The sequence below is a fragment of the Homo sapiens genome, chromosome 3, assembly GCF_000001405.40.
Source record: "Homo sapiens chromosome 3, GRCh38.p14 Primary Assembly".
In the NCBI taxonomy this organism is placed as follows: Eukaryota; Metazoa; Chordata; class Mammalia; order Primates; family Hominidae; genus Homo; species Homo sapiens.
In genome coordinates, this window is record NC_000003.12 from 168,634,196 (window position 1) to 168,656,215 (window position 22,020).

Genomic DNA, 22,020 nt, shown 5'->3' on the forward strand with positions numbered 1-22,020 from the left:
GCAGTTTTTCACTTACTGAATTGGTTATATGCTAGGGTGGGCCTCTGTCTCACACTACACTCTGTCTCTGTCTAGGCACTCCCTGAGACAGCTCTTTGAATCCTTAAGGATATGAAGCGCAGTCTTTCAGCTCGGAAGAGTAAAAGTCAGATCCAGTCAAATAAATGAGTCAGGTTGCTCAGTATGATGGAATAAGTTGTGGAAAAAACTGGTGGACATAGTAAACATGTATTTGATCCAAAAGTATAAATTAGTTTCTGAAGCCCTTTTCAGGACTATGAAAACCCGACATTACTTTTGTTTTAAAATTTCTGTATTTATTTCAGGTAAAGCCAGGCAGAAGCAATTTGACTGGACTATATTAACCTAGCTGTCCATTAAAGTAATTTTGCCATAGTATGTTGTTATATTAGGTCTTATGTTTTAGTAAAGGTCACCATTATTTAAAAAAAAAATAAATTAGGAAATATTTCACATTTTTTGAAAAACCTCTTTTGGAGACTTTGTCATTGTTTTATCCAATGACCCTTATATTCAAAACTCATGTAAGATATTCCTATGGAATTTAATGTCCATAAAGTCTGTCCCTCCTGAAAAACAAATATTTCCTTTTCAACAGTCATGGAAAATTATATAACTTCTTGTTTTATTCTCTTTTTAAAATTACCTATCAGAAATCTCAGACCTATTTTTTTAAAATAATGATGGCACAAGCAATATTATAACAACAAAAATGAAGACTTTAAATGACATAACTCTACCATTGTTCTAGATCAAATTATTTATTTCTTAAAGCTTTTCAGATTTTCTCCATAAGAATAGGTAGCTTTTGTAGTTGCAACTAAAACACAGAAACAATTTGTAATCCATTTCAGGAAAACGGTTTCTCATATTGTTGCATAAGTCATTGCAATTATAATTTTAATAACTGCGTTCAAGTAATACGTTTAACTTACTTGGTTATTTCCGTATTGGTGAACATTTAAATTGTTACCAATGTTTTTGCTTGATGTGTGTGTGTGTGTGTGTGTGTGTGTGTGTGTGTTCTTCACTTTCCTTTTAATGACAATACTTTTTTGAATAACTTCATATGATCTTGTCAGTTCATTATGAGGCCTGCATGATATTATGTATGGAAGGTATCTAACATAGTTTAATTGCTTTGGACTATATCTTTGGATAAATTCTTAAGAGTGGAGATATGGATTCCTGAAACTGGGCTTATTCCAACACCTGTCCCCTTCTTTAACAAACTAAGTTTAAAAAATAATATCTAAACTTGTATGTAAACTTATACTCCAATTTCCCTTAGGTAATCAGCCTTTATTGATCTTTCTCTCTATGATATTCTGCAGCACAAAGCATAGGACTTAATTATAAAGCCATATATTCTTTGTTAATTACTACACGTTTATTAGTCATGAATGCCTGGCTTCTTGACAGAATCAGGTGTAAGCAAAATAAACAAGCACATAAAGTTTCAGTTAATGGAATTTTCTTTGGAATATTGTAATGGAAAGTAAAGAGGATCAAGAAATAGTGTGACTAGGCCTTCTCTTTCTGGCTATGATGGGATAAGTAGTAGCAGACCAATTATCTTGCTGACAACAACTAGAAATGTTGTATGTAATATTAAAAAAACCACACATCTGAAGATATTAGAGAATATTGTGGCAGCCAGGAAAGCCACTGAGGTGAGCTTTCTTATCAAGGGATTGATTCATGAGTGACACAGTGAAAAAGGCTGAAAAGGTAGGAAGAAAGTGGCTGCTAGTAGGAAGAAAAGGTATGTTGAACAGTCAGCAGTCCCAGCAGGCTGGGGAGACATAAACTGAAATTCAGAATTACCAGAGAAGCCAAAATCTGAAGGATCAAGATACTGGAGAAAAGGTGTACCAGTGAGAATCCATAAGAGACAGAAACCACAAATTGATTTGGTCAGAGAAAAAAATACTATGAAGAATTATGAATTAGAACTAAAGATAAAGTACTAAAAGGGGTAAACAGAATGTTGAAGAATATAGGAATAGCATATGTAGAAAGTGGCCACCATGTCTAGGACTGGAGGAGAGTACCCAAGAGTGAAACAAACTTGGAAGCATCCTGTCAATTCCCTGGCCAGGTTGAAAGTCAAATCTCACTGGAAAGGGTATGGCTATGGCTCACTGGATGGCAGGAAAGTTTTCTGAAATGCTGCTGCTCAGGGATGATGGGCAGGAACATGTCCACTGGGGTGGCACTGAAATTCACTGGGAAGCTGCCTACTGGAGGACTGGTAAAACTTGCTTAATGGTATTCACTTCTAGGTTTTTTGTATACCACTGGCAAAATAGCTGCTCACTGGTGAAGAAGCTACCCATTGACAAGAAAGTGGCCAGCTGGCAGCCACAATGCACAAGCCTGAAAAACAAATTATATTGATACTACAGTGAGAGTTTTCTTCCTCTTGCAGTTTTCCTCCAGAGCCCTCTGCTAAGAAGGCTCAACAAGAAGCTGGCAAGGGAGAAATATTTACAGGGTCCAGCTCCTGTATTTATCATAAAGCAAGACAGAGAAGAGTGGAATTATAAAAACAAGAAAAGCTGTGACAAGATGGAAATTTTTACTGGAGAAGTAGGATTTATAAAAGAATCAACTGCAAATAGTTGAAATGAAAAAGGAAATAACTTTAATAGCAAATGTAATAGATGGGATTAATGGCATATTATAAACAACTTATTATGGAATTGACAACCTGAAAGGTCAGTAGGCTATCTCTACTGAAGCAAACAACAAAAAATAATAAAATATAATAGAAAATAGCATGAAGCAAATGATGTATAGATAATAGGTATCATAAGCCTGTGTATGGAAGTACTAGAAAGAAAGGACAATAAAAATGAGACAAAAGCAATATTTGAATAGATACTGGTGAGACAATTTCTTTAAACTGAAGGACATCTAACTACAAAATCAAAATGCACTACAAATTGCAAGGAGGAAAACTACAAAGAAAAACATCACGGTACATCATAGTAAAATATATGTAGAAAAATAACAAAAGTAAAATTTTGACACAGCATAATTGTACATATTTATGAGGCACAATGTGTTTTGATACATATATACATTGTGTAATGGTAAAATCATGGTAACTAGCATATCTATCACCTTAAACATTTATCATTTCTTAATTATAGAAGCATTCAAAATCCTGTCGTATAGCCATTTCAAATATACAATACATTTATTGTTAGCTATAGTCACCCTACTGTGCAATAAAGTACTGGAACTTATTCTTCCAATCTAACTGTTATGTTGTATTCGTTAACCAATCAAAGGGAAAATCTTAAAAGCACACAGAGAAAAACAATCAGATTACTTTCAAAAGGAAATTTAAGTGATGATAGAATGACACTGCTAATAAGCTTTTTAAAAACCTCTAGAATTCTATTCCACTGAAAATATTATTGAAAACATCAGGTGTAACTATAAATGGAGAAGAGGCAGATCTCTACATAAGAGTTCCAAATAATTTGTTTAGATACTCTGCCCTCAAGAGGGAGCATTTCTCTCCACTTTCTGTGTGTGGGCTGTACATAATGACTTTGCTCCAAAGACTATGGAAAGAGGAAAAAAATAGTGTAACTTTGTTACTCTAGAATGGAGAAACCTGACAAATGCTACATCAGCCAGGGATCGAGGTCAACATCAATAGTGCTAAGTCATGTTGAGGTAATAAAGACACTTTACCTCTATAATCTTCCTCCTTATAACCCACAATCCCTGTTTAAAATAAGAAAAACACTACAAAAATCCAAATGGAGAGACATTTTATAGGATGCCTGCCCAGTATTTCTCAAAACCATCAAAGTCATCAAAACTAAGGAAAGTCTGAGAAACTGTCATAGTCAAGAAGAACCTAAGGACCATGACAACTAAATATAAAATTCTGGGAGACATCCTGGGACAGGAAAAGAACATTAGGTCAAAGCTAAGGAAATTTTATTTAAATATGCACTAGATAATACAATCTATCAATATTAGGTTATTAATTATAACTAATGTGCTATACTAATAAGATGTTTAAAACAGTGAAATATGGGATGTTGGAGTACATGTGAACTCTGTACTCTTTAAGATTTTTCTGTAAATCTAAAAAAAGCTAACATATTTTATTTAAAAATTAAGGTAAAAAAATCACCTTTTTTGATATTGCCATTTCCTGACTAAATATGAAAAAAATGTTGCCAGCAGATCCATATGAAAAGAAATACTAAGAGCAATTTTCAGGCCAAAGGACATTATTCTGGAAAGAAGCACAGAAATGAAGGAAGCAATAAAGAATGCCAGAAAAGGTAACTATGTGAATAAACCTAAATTACTTCTGAATATATAAAATAATAACTATGATGTCTTATGGGGTTTAAATATCCAAAAATAAAATACATAATAACAATAATATAATAGGTAGGAAAAGCTTTAAAAGAGTTAAACTGTAAGGTTCTAGCATTATATGGGAAGCGGTTAAAGTACTAATTTATATTAGATTTTAATAATAGATGTTTTAATATCTAGAATTACCACTAAAAGAATAACAAAGGAATATATGACCGACAGTCTAATAAAAAGGGCAAATAGAACACCGAAAATAAATTTTGAGAAAAGTAAGAGTTGAGCATAAAAGTAATATAAAATCTATGGGGAATTTAGAAAAACAATAAAATGATAAATTTAATCCAAATATGTTAGCAATTACATTAAACGTCAATGATATGATACTACAGCTAAAAGTCAAAGATGTTTAAAATATATTAAAATAATGTATATACAGGTATATTTATATATAGAGAGAGAATTTCTCAGATATATGAATACAAAAAAAGGGAAAAACTAAAGTTTAGAAAATGAAATGACATGCAAAGTCATCAATGAAATAAAAGAGGATACAAACAAATGGAAGAACATTCCATGCTCATGGATAGGAAGAATCAATATCGTGAAAATGGCCATACTGCCCAAGGTAATTTATAGATTCAGTGCCATCCCCATCAAGCTACCAATGACTTTCTTCACAGAATTGGAAAAAACTACTTTAAAGTTCATATGGAACCAAAAAAGAGCCCACATTTCCAAGACAATCCTAAACCAAAAGAACAAAGCTGGAGGCATCACGCTACCTGACTTCAAACTATACTACAAGGCTACAATAACCAAAACAGCCTGAACTGGTACCAAAACAGAGATATAGACCAATGGAACCAAACAGAGCCCTCAGAAATAATACCACACATCTACAACCATCTGATCTTTGACAAACCTGACAAAAACAAGAAATGGGGAAAGGATTCCCTATTTAATAAATGGTGCTGGGAAAACTGGCTAGCCATATGTAGAAAGCTGAAACTGGATCCCTTCCTTACACCTTATACAAAAATTAATTCAAGATGGATTAAAGACTGAAATGTTAGACCTAAAACCATAAAAACCCTAGAAGAAAACCTAGGCACTACCATTCAGGACATAGGCATGGGCAAGGACTTCATGTCTAAAACACCAAAAGCAATGGCAACAAAAGCCAAAATTGACAAATGGGATCTAATTAAACTAAAGAGCTTCTGCACAGCAGAAGAAACTACCATCAGCGTGAACAGGCAACCTACAGAATGGGAGAAAATTTTTGCAATCTACTCATCTGACAAAGGGCTAATACCCAGAATCTACAATGAACTCAAACAAATTTACAAGAAAAAAACAACTCCATCAAAGAGTGGGCAAAGGATATGAGCAGACACTTCTCAAAAGAAGACATTTATGCAGCCAAAAGAAACATGAAAAAATGCTCATCATCACTGGCCATCAGAGAAATGCAAATCAAAACCACAATGAGATACCATCTCACATCAGTTAGAATGGCAATCATTAAAAAGTCAGGAAACAACAGGTGCTAGAGAGGATGTGGAGAAACAGGAACACTTTTACACTGTTGGTGGGACTGTAAACTAGTTCAACCATTGTGGAAGACAGTGTGGCAATTCCTCAAGGATCTAGAACTAGAAATCCCATTTGACCCAGCCATCCCATTACTGGGTATATACCCAAAGGATTATAAATCATGCTGATATAAAGGCACGTGCATGCACACGTATGTTTATTGCGACACTGTTCACAATAGCAAAGACTTGGAACCAACCCAAATGTCCATCAATGATAGACTGGATTAAGAAAATGTGGCACATATACACCATGGAATACTATGCAGCCATAAAAAAGGATGAATTCATGTCCTTTGTAGGGACACGGATGATGCTGGAAACCATCATTCTCAGCAAACTATTGCAAGAACAAAAACCCAAACACCACATGTTCTCACTCATAGGTGGGAACTGAACAATGAGAACACATGGATGCAGGAAGGGGACATCACACACCAGGGCCTGTTGTGGGGTGGGGGAAGGGGGGAGGGAAAGCATTAGGAGATATACGTAATGTAAATGACGAGTTAATGGGTGCAGCACACCAACAAGGCACATGTATACATATTTAACAAATCTGCACATTGTGCACATGTACCCTAGAACCTAAAGTATAATAATAAAACTAAACAACAACAACAAAAAACTAACCAAAAGAAAACTGATACAGCTATAACATCAAAAATTCAACTTTAATGAAAAAAGCATAGCTAGATTTAAAGAGGAACATTTTATAATAACAAAGTGTTAATCTACTAGGAAGATGTGGGGATCCTAAGTTTGTATGCCCCTCATAATAGAGCTTCAAATTATATGAAACAAAAATTGCAGTCAGAAAAGGGCACATGTAAAATTAAATAAAGCAATTTCACTATGCTTGTCTTGCTAACTGATAGAACAAGCATATGAAAAAATTATTAAATATATAGAGATATGAAAATCATGATTAACAAATCAAATAAATTTACATATTTGTACATATTTGAAATATTACATGTATAATATATGTAAGTATATGTTGTATACATGCACATATGTACATACAGAAAATATAGCATCTGACCATTGAAGAGTGTACATTATTTTCCAGTAAATATAGATTTTTTTTAAAAAAAAAAGAATTGACCATGTGCTAAAATATAAAGCAAGCCTTAACAAATTGTAAAGAATTGAAATCATGCAGAGTATATTCTTTGTTCACCATGGAATTAGTCTAGCATTTCATAACAAGATGATTGAAAATTCCTCAAATGTGTAAAAAAAAAATCCCAAAACATACTTCAAAATAACCCAAAGAAGAAATATTTATGTAGATTAGGAAATAGTTTGTGTCGATGATAATTAAAATGAAACATTAAAATCTGTGGTGTGCAGCTAATACTTTTATTTTTAGGGAAACAAACATATGAGTGTGATGTGGTCTTTCCAACAAGGCCGCCATCAATTTTTTCCTTGTTTTGACACAGTGTATTCAATTCCCTGATTGATAGGAGGAATTCTCCACCCTTCCAGAATCTCTGCTGGCCTGTGACTGCTTTAACTAACAAAAGTCTAAGAAGTTAGGCTATGTGACTTCCAAGGCTAGATCATAAGAAACCTTGCAACTTGTCTTTAAATCTGCTTTAATAGTCTCCCTGGGGGAGGTAAGCCACCGGTCCTCCACCCTGAGGACACCAAGCAGGAGAAAAGCAGGAGTTTGGCATGTGGGGAGCTTCATGGAGAGAGGGGGAGACATCTGACTAGCCACCCAGATGTTCTGACCATCTCAGCCCAAATCCCAACATGGGAGTGTCAAAGCCTCCATGCAGGTCTACCTCTAGCTGTCACCTTACTACTACCTTCTGTAGGACCCCAAATGAGCACCAACCAGTTGATTATTACCTGAGAATCCCTAGACAGGTGGAAAATAATAGTAAGTTGTCTTTCTAAGCCACTTAGTGTTAAGGTGATTGGTTACATGTTTACAGATAACCAGGAATATTTTTTAAAAGAAAGACTGAAAATCAATTATCTAAATTTCCATCTAAGAACTTAGAAGCAGAACAGTGAAAGAAACCCAAGGAAGTAGAATAAAGGCAATGATAAAGATCACAGCACAAATTAATTATGTGGGAAAAATGTGCAATGCTGAAAAATCAGTAGAGCTACAGGGCTTTTTTAGGAAAAGACTAAAATAGATAGATGATAGATAGCCAAGATAGATAGATAAAACTCACAAATTCCTAGCAAAACTGATAAGAAACAAAAGAGAAGACACACATGAATTTCAGGAATAGGAAGGGTGACCTCAGCACAATTGGACAGACATTTAAAACAGTAGTATGAGAATATTATGAGCAACTTAACAGTAATACATTTGAACATTAATACGAAAGGGACAAATTCCTTGAAACACATGATTTATCCCACATATTTAAATAAAAATCTGAATATTATTATATCAAAGAAATTGAATCTGTAATTGAAAGCCTGCACACACACACACACACACACACACACACACACACACACACACACACATATGCACCCCACAATCCCAGGCCTCAGGTAGTGTCATAAATGAGCTCTTTCAAACATTTTATTAATAAATTATACCAATCTTGCACAGATTATTTCAGCAATAGAAAAGAAGGAAACACTTCTAACTTTTTTTTTGATGTATCTAGTATGACCTGGGTGTCAAAATCAAGCAAGACTATTTACCAAAAAGAAAAAGTACAGGCAAATCTGTCTCATGGAAAAAATCATAAAAATTCCAAATGAAGTATTACCTAAGTGAACTCAGGCATATATAAAAAAAGTAGCGTATCATGACGAGGTTTATTTTAGAGATGCAAAAATCAATCCTGTTATTTATCATGTTAACAGAATAAGAAAAAACATCTAATTATCTTTATAGATTCAAAAAAGTGGTAAATAAAACTTTACACCTGTTTATGAATCAAATATGAAAGAAATTAGGATTAGAAAGGAACATTTATCTATATCTATCTGTATCTACCCTACAGTACCCATCATACCTACCTTGAACTATTAAAACCTCTCCTGAGATTTGAAGCAAGAAAAGGATAACCATTGCCACCACTTTTTCTTAGCATCCTATTTGAGGACCCACAAGTACAATAATGAATATTTTAAGAATTGGACAAATGGAAAAGCTATTTGAACAAGCATTTCAACAAGATGTTATCCAAATGGCCAATACATGAGAATGTGCTTAATCTGATTAATCACTGGGAAAATGCAAATTAGAATCATAAGCTGATGCTATTATTAAACTCCCAGAATAGATCAATGAAAAACCCAGCATATCCCAAATGTTGGCAAGAATGAGTAGCATCTGAACTCTAATATACCACTGGTGGGAGTGTAAATTAGAATAGCCTTTTAAGAAGACCATTTGTCTATAAATACTAAACAACACCTTAGACCTTTTGACCCAGCAAGTCCAGTCTTAGATGTACAGCTGCTCCTCAGTAGCTGCAGGGGTATATTGGTTTCAGGACACCTGTGTATGCCAAAATCTGTGGATACTCAAGTCCTGCATCTGGCCCTGTGGAACTCGAGTATATAAAAAACAGGCCCTCCACATATGCAGGTTTCACATCCTGTGAATACTGTACTTTGAATCCACATTTGGTTGTGGATGCAGCACCTGCTGATATAGAGGGTCCACTGTATTTAGAAAAATCCACATATAAAATGGACCTGTATAGTTCAAACCTGTATTGTTTAAGGGTCAACTGTATTATCCAACAGAAACACATTGGTAAGCTCATTGAAGACATGCATGAGAATGTTCATAGCAGCACTCTTCACAAAAGCCAAAAATAAGAAAATATTTAAATGCTCATCTTTTGTGAAATGAATATTGTAGTATATTCACAGAAGGGAACAATACACAGGAATAAGAATGTGTGATCTACAAGTATATGCAACAAAATGGATGTATATCCTAAACAATGCTGAATGAGAGAAGCCAGACACACTTGAATGAAAAGTTAACTTGAGCAAAACAGTCAAAGCTGCATAGCAAGGACATCAGACAAAATCAGTTACATTCAGTCAAGATGCATTGTTGCTCAGTCTGCCTATTACCTGACTGGTCCTTCAGTATCAGTTGTTTTCTGCTCTGATGGATCCACACTTCGGTGCGACTTTGCTTATGCTTCTACTTTACTTCTTCTGCTGTTCCTGACCAAACCCTTCTCTCCCTTCCCTGTCTCTCTCTGTCTCCCTCTGTCTCCCTCTTCCTCTTTCTCCCATTTTTCCCTGCCCCTCCATACCTCCCCCTTGTCCACTCCATCCCCTCTTCCAGCCACACTCATCTCATGAGGCAAGGATCTATCAAGTTAGCTAGTCAACATGCAGAAGAGGTACCTCATTTGAGCAGAACCGTAATCAAGCCACCTCACAGGCCACTATCAAACTTGAAGATGGATTGGAATACTCGCCAATTGTTAACTGGATTGGATAAATACATAAAATTGAGTCCTGTCTATAAAGATGACTTATGGCCACAGGTTTAGGAGTGGTCTGTGGGCATATCCTGTATATGGACTCAACCAAATCACATTTCTGTTTAGTCCTCAACTCCAGCTACATTTTAAACTTTGGAAACCACAGAAATACCCTTTTACCTTTCTCACACTGTCCACTACAATGGCATATATATAGTGGTGGGTAACTAATAATTATTTGAGAAGCCAATAACAACATATTTAATGGGTAAGCAGGTGGCCTAGTGTCCTGACCTTAGTTTAGTTTCTCTCATTGTTCTCAATTTCATCCTCAAATGATTCTATGTAAAATTTCTGGGTCTGTACCATAAGCTTCCCAAATCTGTAAGACTAGAAAATACCTTAGTTTATTGTTCAAAAGTAATATTTCAGATACCAAAATTATGACTTGTCTCTTTCTTCACATCAAAATTAGAGTGCATTCATTCTAATTAAAATGAAATATTATTTTATTTCATTTAATCCAAGGTTAAATAATGATGTCATTCTATGATGGTTCATTTTTAACAGAGACCCACCGAAGTTTCTTTTTGTATGTCTAGTTACAAGAGGCTAATTCTGTTTGACTATTCACTTGCAGATATAAATGAATGTACCATTGACAATGGTGGCTGTCAAGATCGATGCTGTAATACAGTTGGCAGTTATTACTGCAAATGTCAAGCTGGCCAGAAGCTGGAGGAAGATGGCAAAGGATGTGAAGGTAACAGGACTGTCTGCTTACTGATAAGGGAAGAGAGAACATCTATGTAATGCAAAAGAGGAGGTTGTCTTTTATCCAGAGCCAGTTGAAGTGCCTGTGTTGAATGTTGTCAAGAGCACAGATCTTCCTCTCATGTCTAGATTACAGTATTGTAACCCTAAGAACATTTCAAGTAGCTTATTATGGGAAACATATGATTATATGCTGGTTTGGTTGTGTCATGTTCTGATTATGGAATTTCAATCATTCATTTAAATCCCTGGATAAAGTACATATTTTTTAAAGCATTTCATTTAATTCTAAAGTAAAAATGATACTTATCATAAAATACTCATATGTTGCTACAATGTAAATGGAGGGGCACAAAACTAACCACAGGAATAATATTCTTGGTATAGAATTAGCTTTTTGCACAAACCTCAATTTTCTGTTTCCTTTTAAAATTAATTCCTTCATTTATTAATTCATCATTTTATTCATTTGACAATCATTGAGTTTCTGCTCTGTATCAGGCATTATTCCATGCTCTGGAGATATAAAAATTAATGAGAAATAAATTATGTCCTGAAGGAGCTCACTGATTAGAAGCAAAGATTGAAACATAAGCCCAAGCCTTACAAAGTGGTATTTTTAGGCATTATAGCATGCGGTAAGTGCATTGGATTCAAAGAGACATGTGTTTGAGACCTAACTCTGTCACTTATGATTTATGTTACCATGGGCAAGTTATTTTATTTTGCTAATACTCTTCCTTCATTGATAATATTTAGAATAATGGTGGTTTCTAAACCACAAAATTTGCTGTGAGAATTAAATAAGGTAATGCATCTAAAGCACTTAGCATAAAGGGTGGTGCTCAAATGATAACTATAAGTGGTACTCTCATTTATGAACTTAGTTGCTGCCTGTCTTGGGAATGTAATGGGGGACAGAGATTGCTTCCTTCTCTTAATTTCTGAAAGGGAACATAATAGATTAAAAGGATCACTATTACCATGCCTTATAACTGTCTTTCTGAATTTTTTCTATCTGGCCATATTACTAAAATGCCTGAGAATTTTATATAGTCAGGCATCTTTGTTTGTTTGTTTTAAGATAACAGTAGAAAAGCATTTATTCTGATTATGTTCTATCACGGATCTTAAAAAATCACATTCTTTTTTTCCCTTAACAAAGTTCATTCCTGATGGGGCATGTATGAATAAGTTGGTAAAAGAAAACAAAACAAACAAAAAATATCCCCACTGAAGGCACCTGAGGCTAGGGTTGTGGGTTTCATTGAGACTACCAAAGGCAAGACAAATTGTAGGTGTGAGTAGGTTGGAAAATGTATCAATTTCCCTTTATCATTCCCTCCCAGCAGGGCTTGTGCAGGCAATAATAGGAAGGGCTCCAGGTAGAGAGCCAGATGTTTAAAGGCAACTATGTCTGGACCTTCCTGGGACAGGGTTCATCTCAGGAAGCATCCTCTGCCTGGAAAAGTGTAAATTCACAAAGGCAAACCCTAAATTCACCCAGGCTCTTTTTTCATTCAAGTGCAATAATCTCTATTTCTGGATGAAATTATTTGGCAATGGTGATCCCAGTACTGATTCAATCTCAGAAGAAGAGTCAAGGACTGCATTGTGTTCAAGGTAAAAGTGGGATGGTGACCACTGAAGACGACATGGTCTGTACTATGAGAATAGTGTTTTCATGAACCCTCCCTTCATCTGACAGGCAACAAGCTATTTATTTCTCTTTGACTGAGTATTATTATTGCTGTATCATCATTGTCATTATTATAGATATATTTGAAGCACCTATCACAGCAATTCACCATTGTTAGGTATAATAATTATTTTTATAATAGCTATTAGGCTAATAAGGCATGTTAGACTTCGCACCCACTGGTTCATTTACTTTCACTTATATCCTATTTTAACTGAAGTTAGTTACTCATGGTCACTCATATAAGTGACAAGGTATTTAGAGAAATGATTTCCATGGTTTTATTTAGCTGAGTCCATTTGTACAAACTGAATACAATTAAGGTCAGTATTTGTATGAATCAAGAGTATGATAATCAAGAATCCAGAGTTTGATATAATGAGATAACACTGACTTCCTACTTTCCCAGGACTAGGGATGGTGGTTTGAAGTAGAGCAGCTTACCTGCAAAGAACCTCTTCTCTCAGTCTCATTGATGTTAGAATCTTTTTTTTCTTTTCATTTCCTTAAATGACTATTTGCTGGAGATGGTACTGCTAGAGATTCAGCTTGCTTGATTGTTGAACATACAATCATCTCAGGTTTATTTATATACATGATTAAATAAAATATAATAGAGATCATTTTGAAATCCAGTGCATTCTAAAGACACTGCAAATGAACATTCATGTGAGTGTAGAAATGAGTCATTCATGTTTATTTACTGGCTGGTAACAGTAGAAGTCAGTTGGTTTCAAAGACCATTTAGTTGAATGCTACAGCATTGAATTAAACAGTCATTTAAAAATACTTTTACTTTGCATTAATATAAATTGAATTTAAGTTATTTGAATTGCTTTTTAAAATATAGAGACCAGCATTTTAATGGGCATTTGTTGTACTATTTAAATAAATCTAGGCTGGGCATGGTGGCTCACGCCTATAATCCCAGCACTTTGGGAGGCTGAGGCAGGTGAATCACTTGAGTCCAGGAGTTCAAGGCTGCAGTGAGCTGTGATCACATCACTGCACTCCAGCCTGGACAGCAGAGTGAGACCCTGTCTCTAAAATAATAAATAATAAATAATAAATCTAGAGTCTGTCCTTAAGTGGACAGAATTTAAACATTTATAAACAATCTTGTTAGTTAATCTTACTCTTTAACTTTTTCTATAAAGAGGTATAAACTTGTGGAGAAGGCTCTTGATTAGCTCAGTTTCACTGGTATCCCCTTCTTTCAGGCATAGCACTGAATCTAAAGAATGTTTTCTGATTCACACGCAGATTGATTCTTACAAGATATAGATTAAAGAAGCAAATGAAGGGAAAAAATGCCTTCCACTGGATGCTGTGGGAGATATTAAAATATTTACATAGTGTGTGTCAAGGATCCCCAAACCTCGGGCCACAGACCAGTACTGCTCCATGGTCTGTTAGGAACTGGGCCACACAGCAGGAAGTGAGTGGCGGGTGAGTGAGCAAAGCTTAATCTGTATTTACAGTTCCTCCCCATCACTCACATCACCACCTGAGCTCCACCTTCTGTCAGATCAGCCATGGCATTAGAGTCTCATAGAAATGCAAACCCTACTGTGAACTGCACATGCAAGGGATCTAGATTTTGTGTTCCTTACAAGAACCTAATGCTTGATAATCTGTCACTGTCTTCCATCACCCCGAGATGGGACTGTCTAGTTGCAGGAAAACAAGCTCAGGGCTCCCACTGATTCTACCTTATGTTGAGTTGTATAATTGTTATCTATCACAATGTAATAATAATAGAAATAAAGTGCACAATAAATGTAATACACTTGAATCATCCTAAAACCATCCCCCTTACCCCGGTCTGTGGAAAAATTGTCTTCCACAAAACTGGTCCCTGGTGCCAAAAAAATTGGAAACTGCTGGTTCATACACACACACACACACACACACACACACAGATCTATATATAGATCTATATATGTGCATACTTGTATGTATATGTATATATGCTTATCTATTGAAAGGATGTAAATTTCTTCTTTCATTTGCTAGTGTGAGTGATTATTTTTATAGATTTTCAAATATGCAACTATAATTGCACTTCAGAAAAAATTCAACTGGTATCATTTTATTTGCTATTAAAGTCAATTCTCTATTATTTTGTTTAGGATGTTGTATCCACAACTGTGAGTGAAATAGGCCAGTAATTTTTGTTTCTCATATGTTCTTTATGGCAGTGGCTCTCAACTGGGGTGATTTTGTACCCCAGAGGCACTTGTCAATGTTCGGAGACACTATTGATTTTCACGACTGAGGGGAGTAGGTGCCACTGGCATCTAGTGGATGGAGGTCAGAATGTTGCTAAACATCCCCTTCTTCTGTAATTCTGATTATACTGCTTCAGATTTCAACCATTTAACTTTATGTTTTAGAAATATCATTTTTCTCAAATTTATAGATTATCTTTTGTATGTATGCTCATTTTTATAGTTGTATTATCTTCTTTTGCTATTTCACATATAAGCCTTCTATATTCCATATCTGAATCCAGCATCTGGGGTCCTTGTGGAAGGTCTAAATCTATTGTTCCTTATTTCTAGGACCATTAGTTACACTCTCTTCCCTTTCATGTTATATACACTAATACCTCTGTTCCATAACTTCTTACAGAGCACTGTACTTATTTACACATTTGTACTGTCAATTAGATTGGGGATATCTCCTGGGAAAGAACCATGTCTTATCACTTTTTCATCCCCAGCACACAGTTGTCTAGCACATAGGGGGATTCCATAAATGCTTATTGAATGAATGAATACCATCATCCTTTCAAACATACAAGCATACAGTCAATATGGCTTTTATTCATTTTATTCATTTCCTTATCTACAGATTCTAATCATGCTGAAATTGTCACTTAAAGTTTGACTAGTTAAACTATTTGGTTATCAGTAGGTCTTAATGTAAGTATTTGCTGATAACAAGTCATTTGAAAGGGAAAAATCACATTTTTTTGTTTCTAGGGAGCAAATCAAAGACTTTTGGCTTGCTTTCAGCTTTCTGAAAAGTTTCTTCATATGGCTTGTCTAAATTATTGGTGCCACAACGTAAGTAGTGTGGCTATTCAAGCACGGTAATCTTGTGGTGTCAAAGAAGTTTTCTAAATGAAATGGTAACTAATATTACTATATATTCTAATAAATTAACTTAGAAAGATAGTGAACATTGTTTGGACATTTGAGATAAATTCTTCTATTTGAGAGAAATAAATGAACATATACTATACATTGATAAAGGCATATTGTTTAAATAATTGATTGTTAAAATATTTTAAAGTAATTTTAATGATATTTTGGATTTTTTTTTCTAAAGCATATGGACATGATTAAGTGAATAAACAGAGAATATAATTCAGCATGCCACTGTGGTGGAATTACAGAATATTTCAGCTTCCAAAAGGCTTCTATAGTTGGAATTCCAGGGAAATTAAATGATTTGGACAAGGTAACAGTGCTAGTTGATGAGCAAAATGACACCAGAAGCCAAACTTTCTTATTTGTTACCCACTGTCCTTTCCCTTTGATGTGGTTGATGGGCAGCATGAACCGGATGCAGACTAGTCTGACTGTGGGGTCACAGTGTTGTGGGGGTAGAGAGGCCCTCAACTCATAGAAGCCATGATTGTCAGAGGAGGGAAATTAAGACCCTGAGAGATTGACTGATTTCCTCCAAGTCCTAGACAATTTATTTGTAAAGCAAAAAACAGAATCCAGTTCCCCTTTTCCCATTTGTCATTCTTCTTCATTGAAAAATCAATCTGGTCAGTAAACATTTATTGGGTAACTACTATATGTCCAGCACTGTGCTGGGTAATTCGAGAATACCCAACCCATATTTTAGTACAGAGTATGGTTTATTTCTTCACAGAGTTTCAGTATTATTAAGCATCCTGAATATAAAATGATTGTGTGATATTTTACATGAAAGTCAAGTAATTATATTATATCCTTTGAGAGTTCACTCAGGCTAGCTCTTTGCCTCCAAGCAGCATGGTGTCTAAACCAGCTAGTTGTTTACCCTAGTATTAGAGATCTCCAAGGGAGGACATCTTTTAATAACTCTTGTGATCAGGAAAGCGTTCCTTATATGTCACCTATATTGCTCCCGTTTAAGCCTGTGTGTTTTATTTTCTTCTTAGTTCAGAGACACTTAAATAATCAGTAATTCTCCACACACTTACAGCACACTAATGTGTAGTTGTTCAACTTAGTAAAAACATTTATTGTGCCAAATATAGTCTGTTGGCACTTGAAGAATAAAATATGATATATGTATACACATACACATGCATATTTATTTTGAGTTTATTAAGAAAACTTGAAATCATTATGAAGAATTTTTCTACTTCTGCATGTTGCTTCTCTTAATAGTCACTTATAAAGGAACTCTGTACCTCTTTCTATTGGTGTTGTGGAGCATGCAAAGTAACAGCAGTTCCCTGGCCTCAAAGAGCTAGCCAAATACTGGAGTAGTTAACTATTGGAATTGCCAACCATTGAAATTTATACAGATGAAGAATAATTTGAAAAAAATCCAATATAGTCTATCTACATATACTAAAGATTGTCCATTTTGAATTTATAGAAACACATTTACAATACAGAATAACTACATTTAAAAGGTTTGAACCACTTAAAATGTGGGGGATTTATCTACTTGATTCATAATTGTATTCAGAGTTTTTTTTCTTATTATTCACCAAGCACGTATCAGACCCTTACACTGTGCTCCATGTCAAACAAAGAGCACAAATTTTCGGTTCAAATATTGACTCTAACATTTACTAGCTGTGAGACTTAGAGCAAGTTATTTAGTATCTATGGGCTTTCCCTTCATCTATAAAACCAGAGTAATAATACTTAGCCTTATATAGGTTGAAAGATCAAATAAGATGTAGTTTGAAAGCATCTTGATGGTAGGAAAACCTTCTTTCCCCTGTTTCGTGCTCACCTAAAGAGGGATTGTTTATTAGTAACATTCTTGACCTCTGTCTGCACCCCACATCTCCCACTCCCTTCTTACCAAGAGAAGAGGTGTGAAAATACCTCACTGGTGAGTTTGGGGAAATAAATTGGTCTGTTGGGTTTAGCTCACATTCATATTTTCTCTTTGGGGCTTGCAAATGCCTGCAAAAAGTGACCATTCTGGTCTGCTTCTCTGCTTAAATGGAAGTTTCACCATGCCAGGACCCCACATGAAGAAGACAGGTTTTCCATCTACACCTGGGACCAAGTGGGAGAGTTTGTCTAATTCTGCATGCATTTTTGGGAAGCCCATTGTTGCTGCACCCTTAAATTCTCTTATCCAGTTTCAATTTTAACAAAAATAAAATGGATATTTTGTCTCCATATGCCTATTTTGAATTAGATCTCAATTAATTCAAAATTCAGGCAGGCAACATGAATTTGTTATTGTATCCCCTCAAAATAGTAGCACTTTATATTTGCCTAATGCTTAGGAAATTTTATTTCTCTCCAGTTTTTTTTTAATTTCCTCCTATGCTATTTGTTGTTGAAGATTTAAAAAAATGTACAATATTATCTTTTTCTCTCCCAGGAGCTTCCAGTTCAATAAAGGAGATTAGATGGATACACAAACAGCTATAGTGTAAGATAGCAGGAGTAAATATAAGGCAGGCACAAGTGCTATGAGAATTAAGAGGAGAAAAAGATAACCCACTGTTGAATCAAAATGGGCTGCAAGGAACTGGGACAGACACTAATCACTTAGCCCTGGGACTGAACAACCAACCTTCCATTTCTTTAATTTCCTTAATAAATTCCCTAGTGGAGTTCTGCCCAATATGACTTGTCCTGCTGTCTCTTGTGTCTCTTGATTGACACTGGACGGCATCCGGGATTTTAACAACAAAGCTGCTACTGCTGTTCCCAAGACATTCCTTACAGAAATTTCTGAGAGTATTCTTAGATATATGTGTCTTTTAGACTAGAGTGAAAACACATATAATTCAAATCTGAAACTCTGTTATGAAAATGGAAATCAACTTTATTTATAGTTAAGCCAGTCTTTTAAATAAAGTCCATCATTTCTCCCCCAATAATCCTGAGTAATTCCTTCAATACCTCAGCTTTCAGCTAACACTTAACTGTAGTCAACAGAGTATCTACAAGTGAGAGGAGCTGGAAGAGACTATAGCTCATACAGATTCCCCAAGGTGAGCTGGCTCACTTAGCAGATTTCATTAGGGATGTGCAGATTTATGGCAGTTATGGCTTCTACAGGTAGTGCCAAAAGAGGCAGACAAGAAAAAAAAAAGACGTCTTAGAGGTCTGTGGCTGACAAGCAAGACATCAAAAGGCTTCTTATTGCCTCAGCAGCCCATGCCACTCTTACTACAAAAACAATGAAGCAGAAGCAGCCAATCAGGGCAAATGGCTGTGTGAAGCTGTCTGAATGTGGTGAGCAGCAAGATACCTCCTTACCAAAATTTGGCTCATGGTCCTTAAATTTTACTGTAAATTGGGAAGCATAAAATATTTTATATTCTGAAGAATAAAACTTTTAGTTTCATTCACAATTATTTTTTAGTTTTTCTGTTTAGTAGTCTTAAAAATGAGCTGATATTTTTAAAAGACTGTATTATTATATTTACTTCCCAGAAATATTTTCCAACTGATGCATCCTGGCTTGAATTCTTCAGATGTGTGTTTACCTTGTAGGTATTTTTTGTATTATGAAATCATACCTACCAAAAGATCAGTGTGATCCTGTATTCTAAAGCATGATCCTTTTAGACTTCTGAAATGTAGAGGGTTGGTTCCTGCCCTTACAAGATCCATATTCCTTTCTATTACTATCATAAAAGTAGTTACGGATGACTGACTTTTTAATTTTCTTGCTATAAGAAATTCCTTCATCAATTTTTAAATAATGGAGACTTATTTTTCTTGCAATAAGGACTTATTAAGGGAGCCTATGAATACATATGTGTGATTTTTAATCAGGAAATAAGTCAGTTAAAGTTGATTTGTTATTTTGCTGCTATTGACTTTCATGTGTTTGTATTTTTAGTGGCCTTCTGATGACCAGTCATCCTCAGCATATGATATCATAGAAAGAAATGAAGGTACTCATTTCTGAAAAAAACTATATACTGTAGTTCATAAATTCAAGTTAATTTTCTGTTTTTATTATTAATTCCAATTCTGAGTTTGTCAACAGGCCAGGTCTGTACTTCCTTGAATTTAATTTAGATCATAATAAAAGGATAGCACTCATTTTATTTGTCCCAATGGATGCATGTGATGCGTGTATTCCACATGTATTACTGGTAAACCCAACCTTCTGAGAGTATGCATATTTATTTGTATTTTTACTTTATATCTTCTCTATGAGTATCTCATTGGTAAGAGCATATTCCTAAGAATAGTAATATTGTAAACATACAGAATTCTTTATGCTATTACAAATACAAATGTCTTATATTTCACATTTCCTATAAATAGGAAAGATATATGAAAAGAATCTGGAGAACTTTTCTAAAAAGTGTTGTTCTCATTTTAATAAGGAAGATAGCAGGTCTCTAACATTGTATGAAATCACAGGCTTTTGTGATTATCAAAATACACAGAGTGATTATAAATTAATTATTGTCATTCAAATATGATTTTTTAAGTCTATCTTGCAGAATGAGAAAGGCAGTTAATGTTGTATAAAGCCATTTGAAAATACTCAAGTAATAGACCACCTGAAGGGAACTGCATACTGTAGGAGGTCATTGCTGGCTAGGAACACACATAGGAAGGGAACAGGTGTTAGCTTTGGTTGGTCTCAGACTGGCACTGGGTCCTAGTGACTCCCAGTTCAGGGTTGGGATAGAGAAGAGCAGAACTAAGATACCCTAGGTTTCTCTGTCTGTGTGGGCATGAGAGGTCGGGGAGAAGGGCAGGAGAGAGGAGAGACAAGAATAATCATGTAAAGGAATGCATTTTATACATATATACTTTATGCCGTATCAAACACATGTTTCTAAGTTATAAAGTTCTGTAGTTCTGACAAGCTTACTGAAGTGGGACACTTCAAATCTTATAGCGGTCTCAGCAATAGCATAAACCATCCAGATGAGATGTGCAAACAAAATGTCTTTTCTCTGCTTGATGTATATTTAATAATTTTTTAGCATGACTAAGATGACCCCTGTGGTAATCCATCAAAAAATGTAGACAAGAATAAGAAAAAAGTTGTTTATAAATTGCTTTTCATTGGTGAGAAAATAAGTTGATTTAAAATCATCTGTTGTATAATTTTGAACAAGTGAACTGGAAGCTTCTGTATTTAAATCATTTATCTATTTATTTTTGTATTTATTTTAAAATATATTTATATCTATATTTATTTTTCTGTATTCAAATCTTTTGTAATTAAATTTTCTGTATAAATATATAACATATTTATATTTATTTTTAAATATATTTATTTTATATTTATTTTTCTGTATTTAAATCACTGGTCTATTTACTTTTATATCACTTCTTTTATTTTAAATAATCATCACATTTTGGTGGCCTGACTGAGCTTTGGAAAACAAATTAAAACTGCAGCTAGGAAAATTAGGTTAATTATAATTCATTCGATGCTGTCTTTATTAAAAGTGAATTGATTTAATCCCTGTAAAAAACCCTAAGGCATGAGAAAGCAAAATAGCTGTGTAAAAGCTTAGTGTACTCAACAATTAGAAGATACTACAGTTCAGTACTTAATGTGCATATGAATCACCTTAGATCTTGTTAAAATGCAGATTCTGATTCAGCAGGTGTGGGATCAGCCTAAGAATCTGCATTTCTACCAGGCTCCTGGGATTTGAGATGATGCTGATCCAGTGACCACACTGGGTAAAAAGGCTTTTGTCAGCTCATTCTCTCAATGTGTCAGATAATAATTAAGCATTTGCTAATTATAATACAGCCATAGAGAAGGGATACAAAATGCTGTGAAATGTGGTGCCTGCAATTCTGAAACATTTTAAGAAACCAGTTTGTTGAGATAAAATTCACAGCCCATACATTTCATCCATTTAAATTGTAAAATTCAGAAGTTTTCAGTATATTAACAAATATATGCAATCATTATTACAGTAGATTTTAGAACA

At 34.7% G+C, this 22,020-nt stretch overlaps 1 pseudogene across 1 annotated transcript in view; it reads left to right on the forward strand.

The window, feature by feature from the left end:
* The window catches only part of EGFEM1P (EGF like and EMI domain containing 1, pseudogene), a 581,078-nt pseudogene that overhangs the window by 384,674 nt on the left and 174,384 nt on the right, over positions 1–22,020 (forward strand). Inside the window, exon 5 of the transcript NR_021485.2 lies at positions 11,055–11,177. The product of NR_021485.2 is annotated as an EGF like and EMI domain containing 1, pseudogene (transcript). The remainder of the gene's footprint in view (positions 1–11,054; positions 11,178–22,020) is intronic.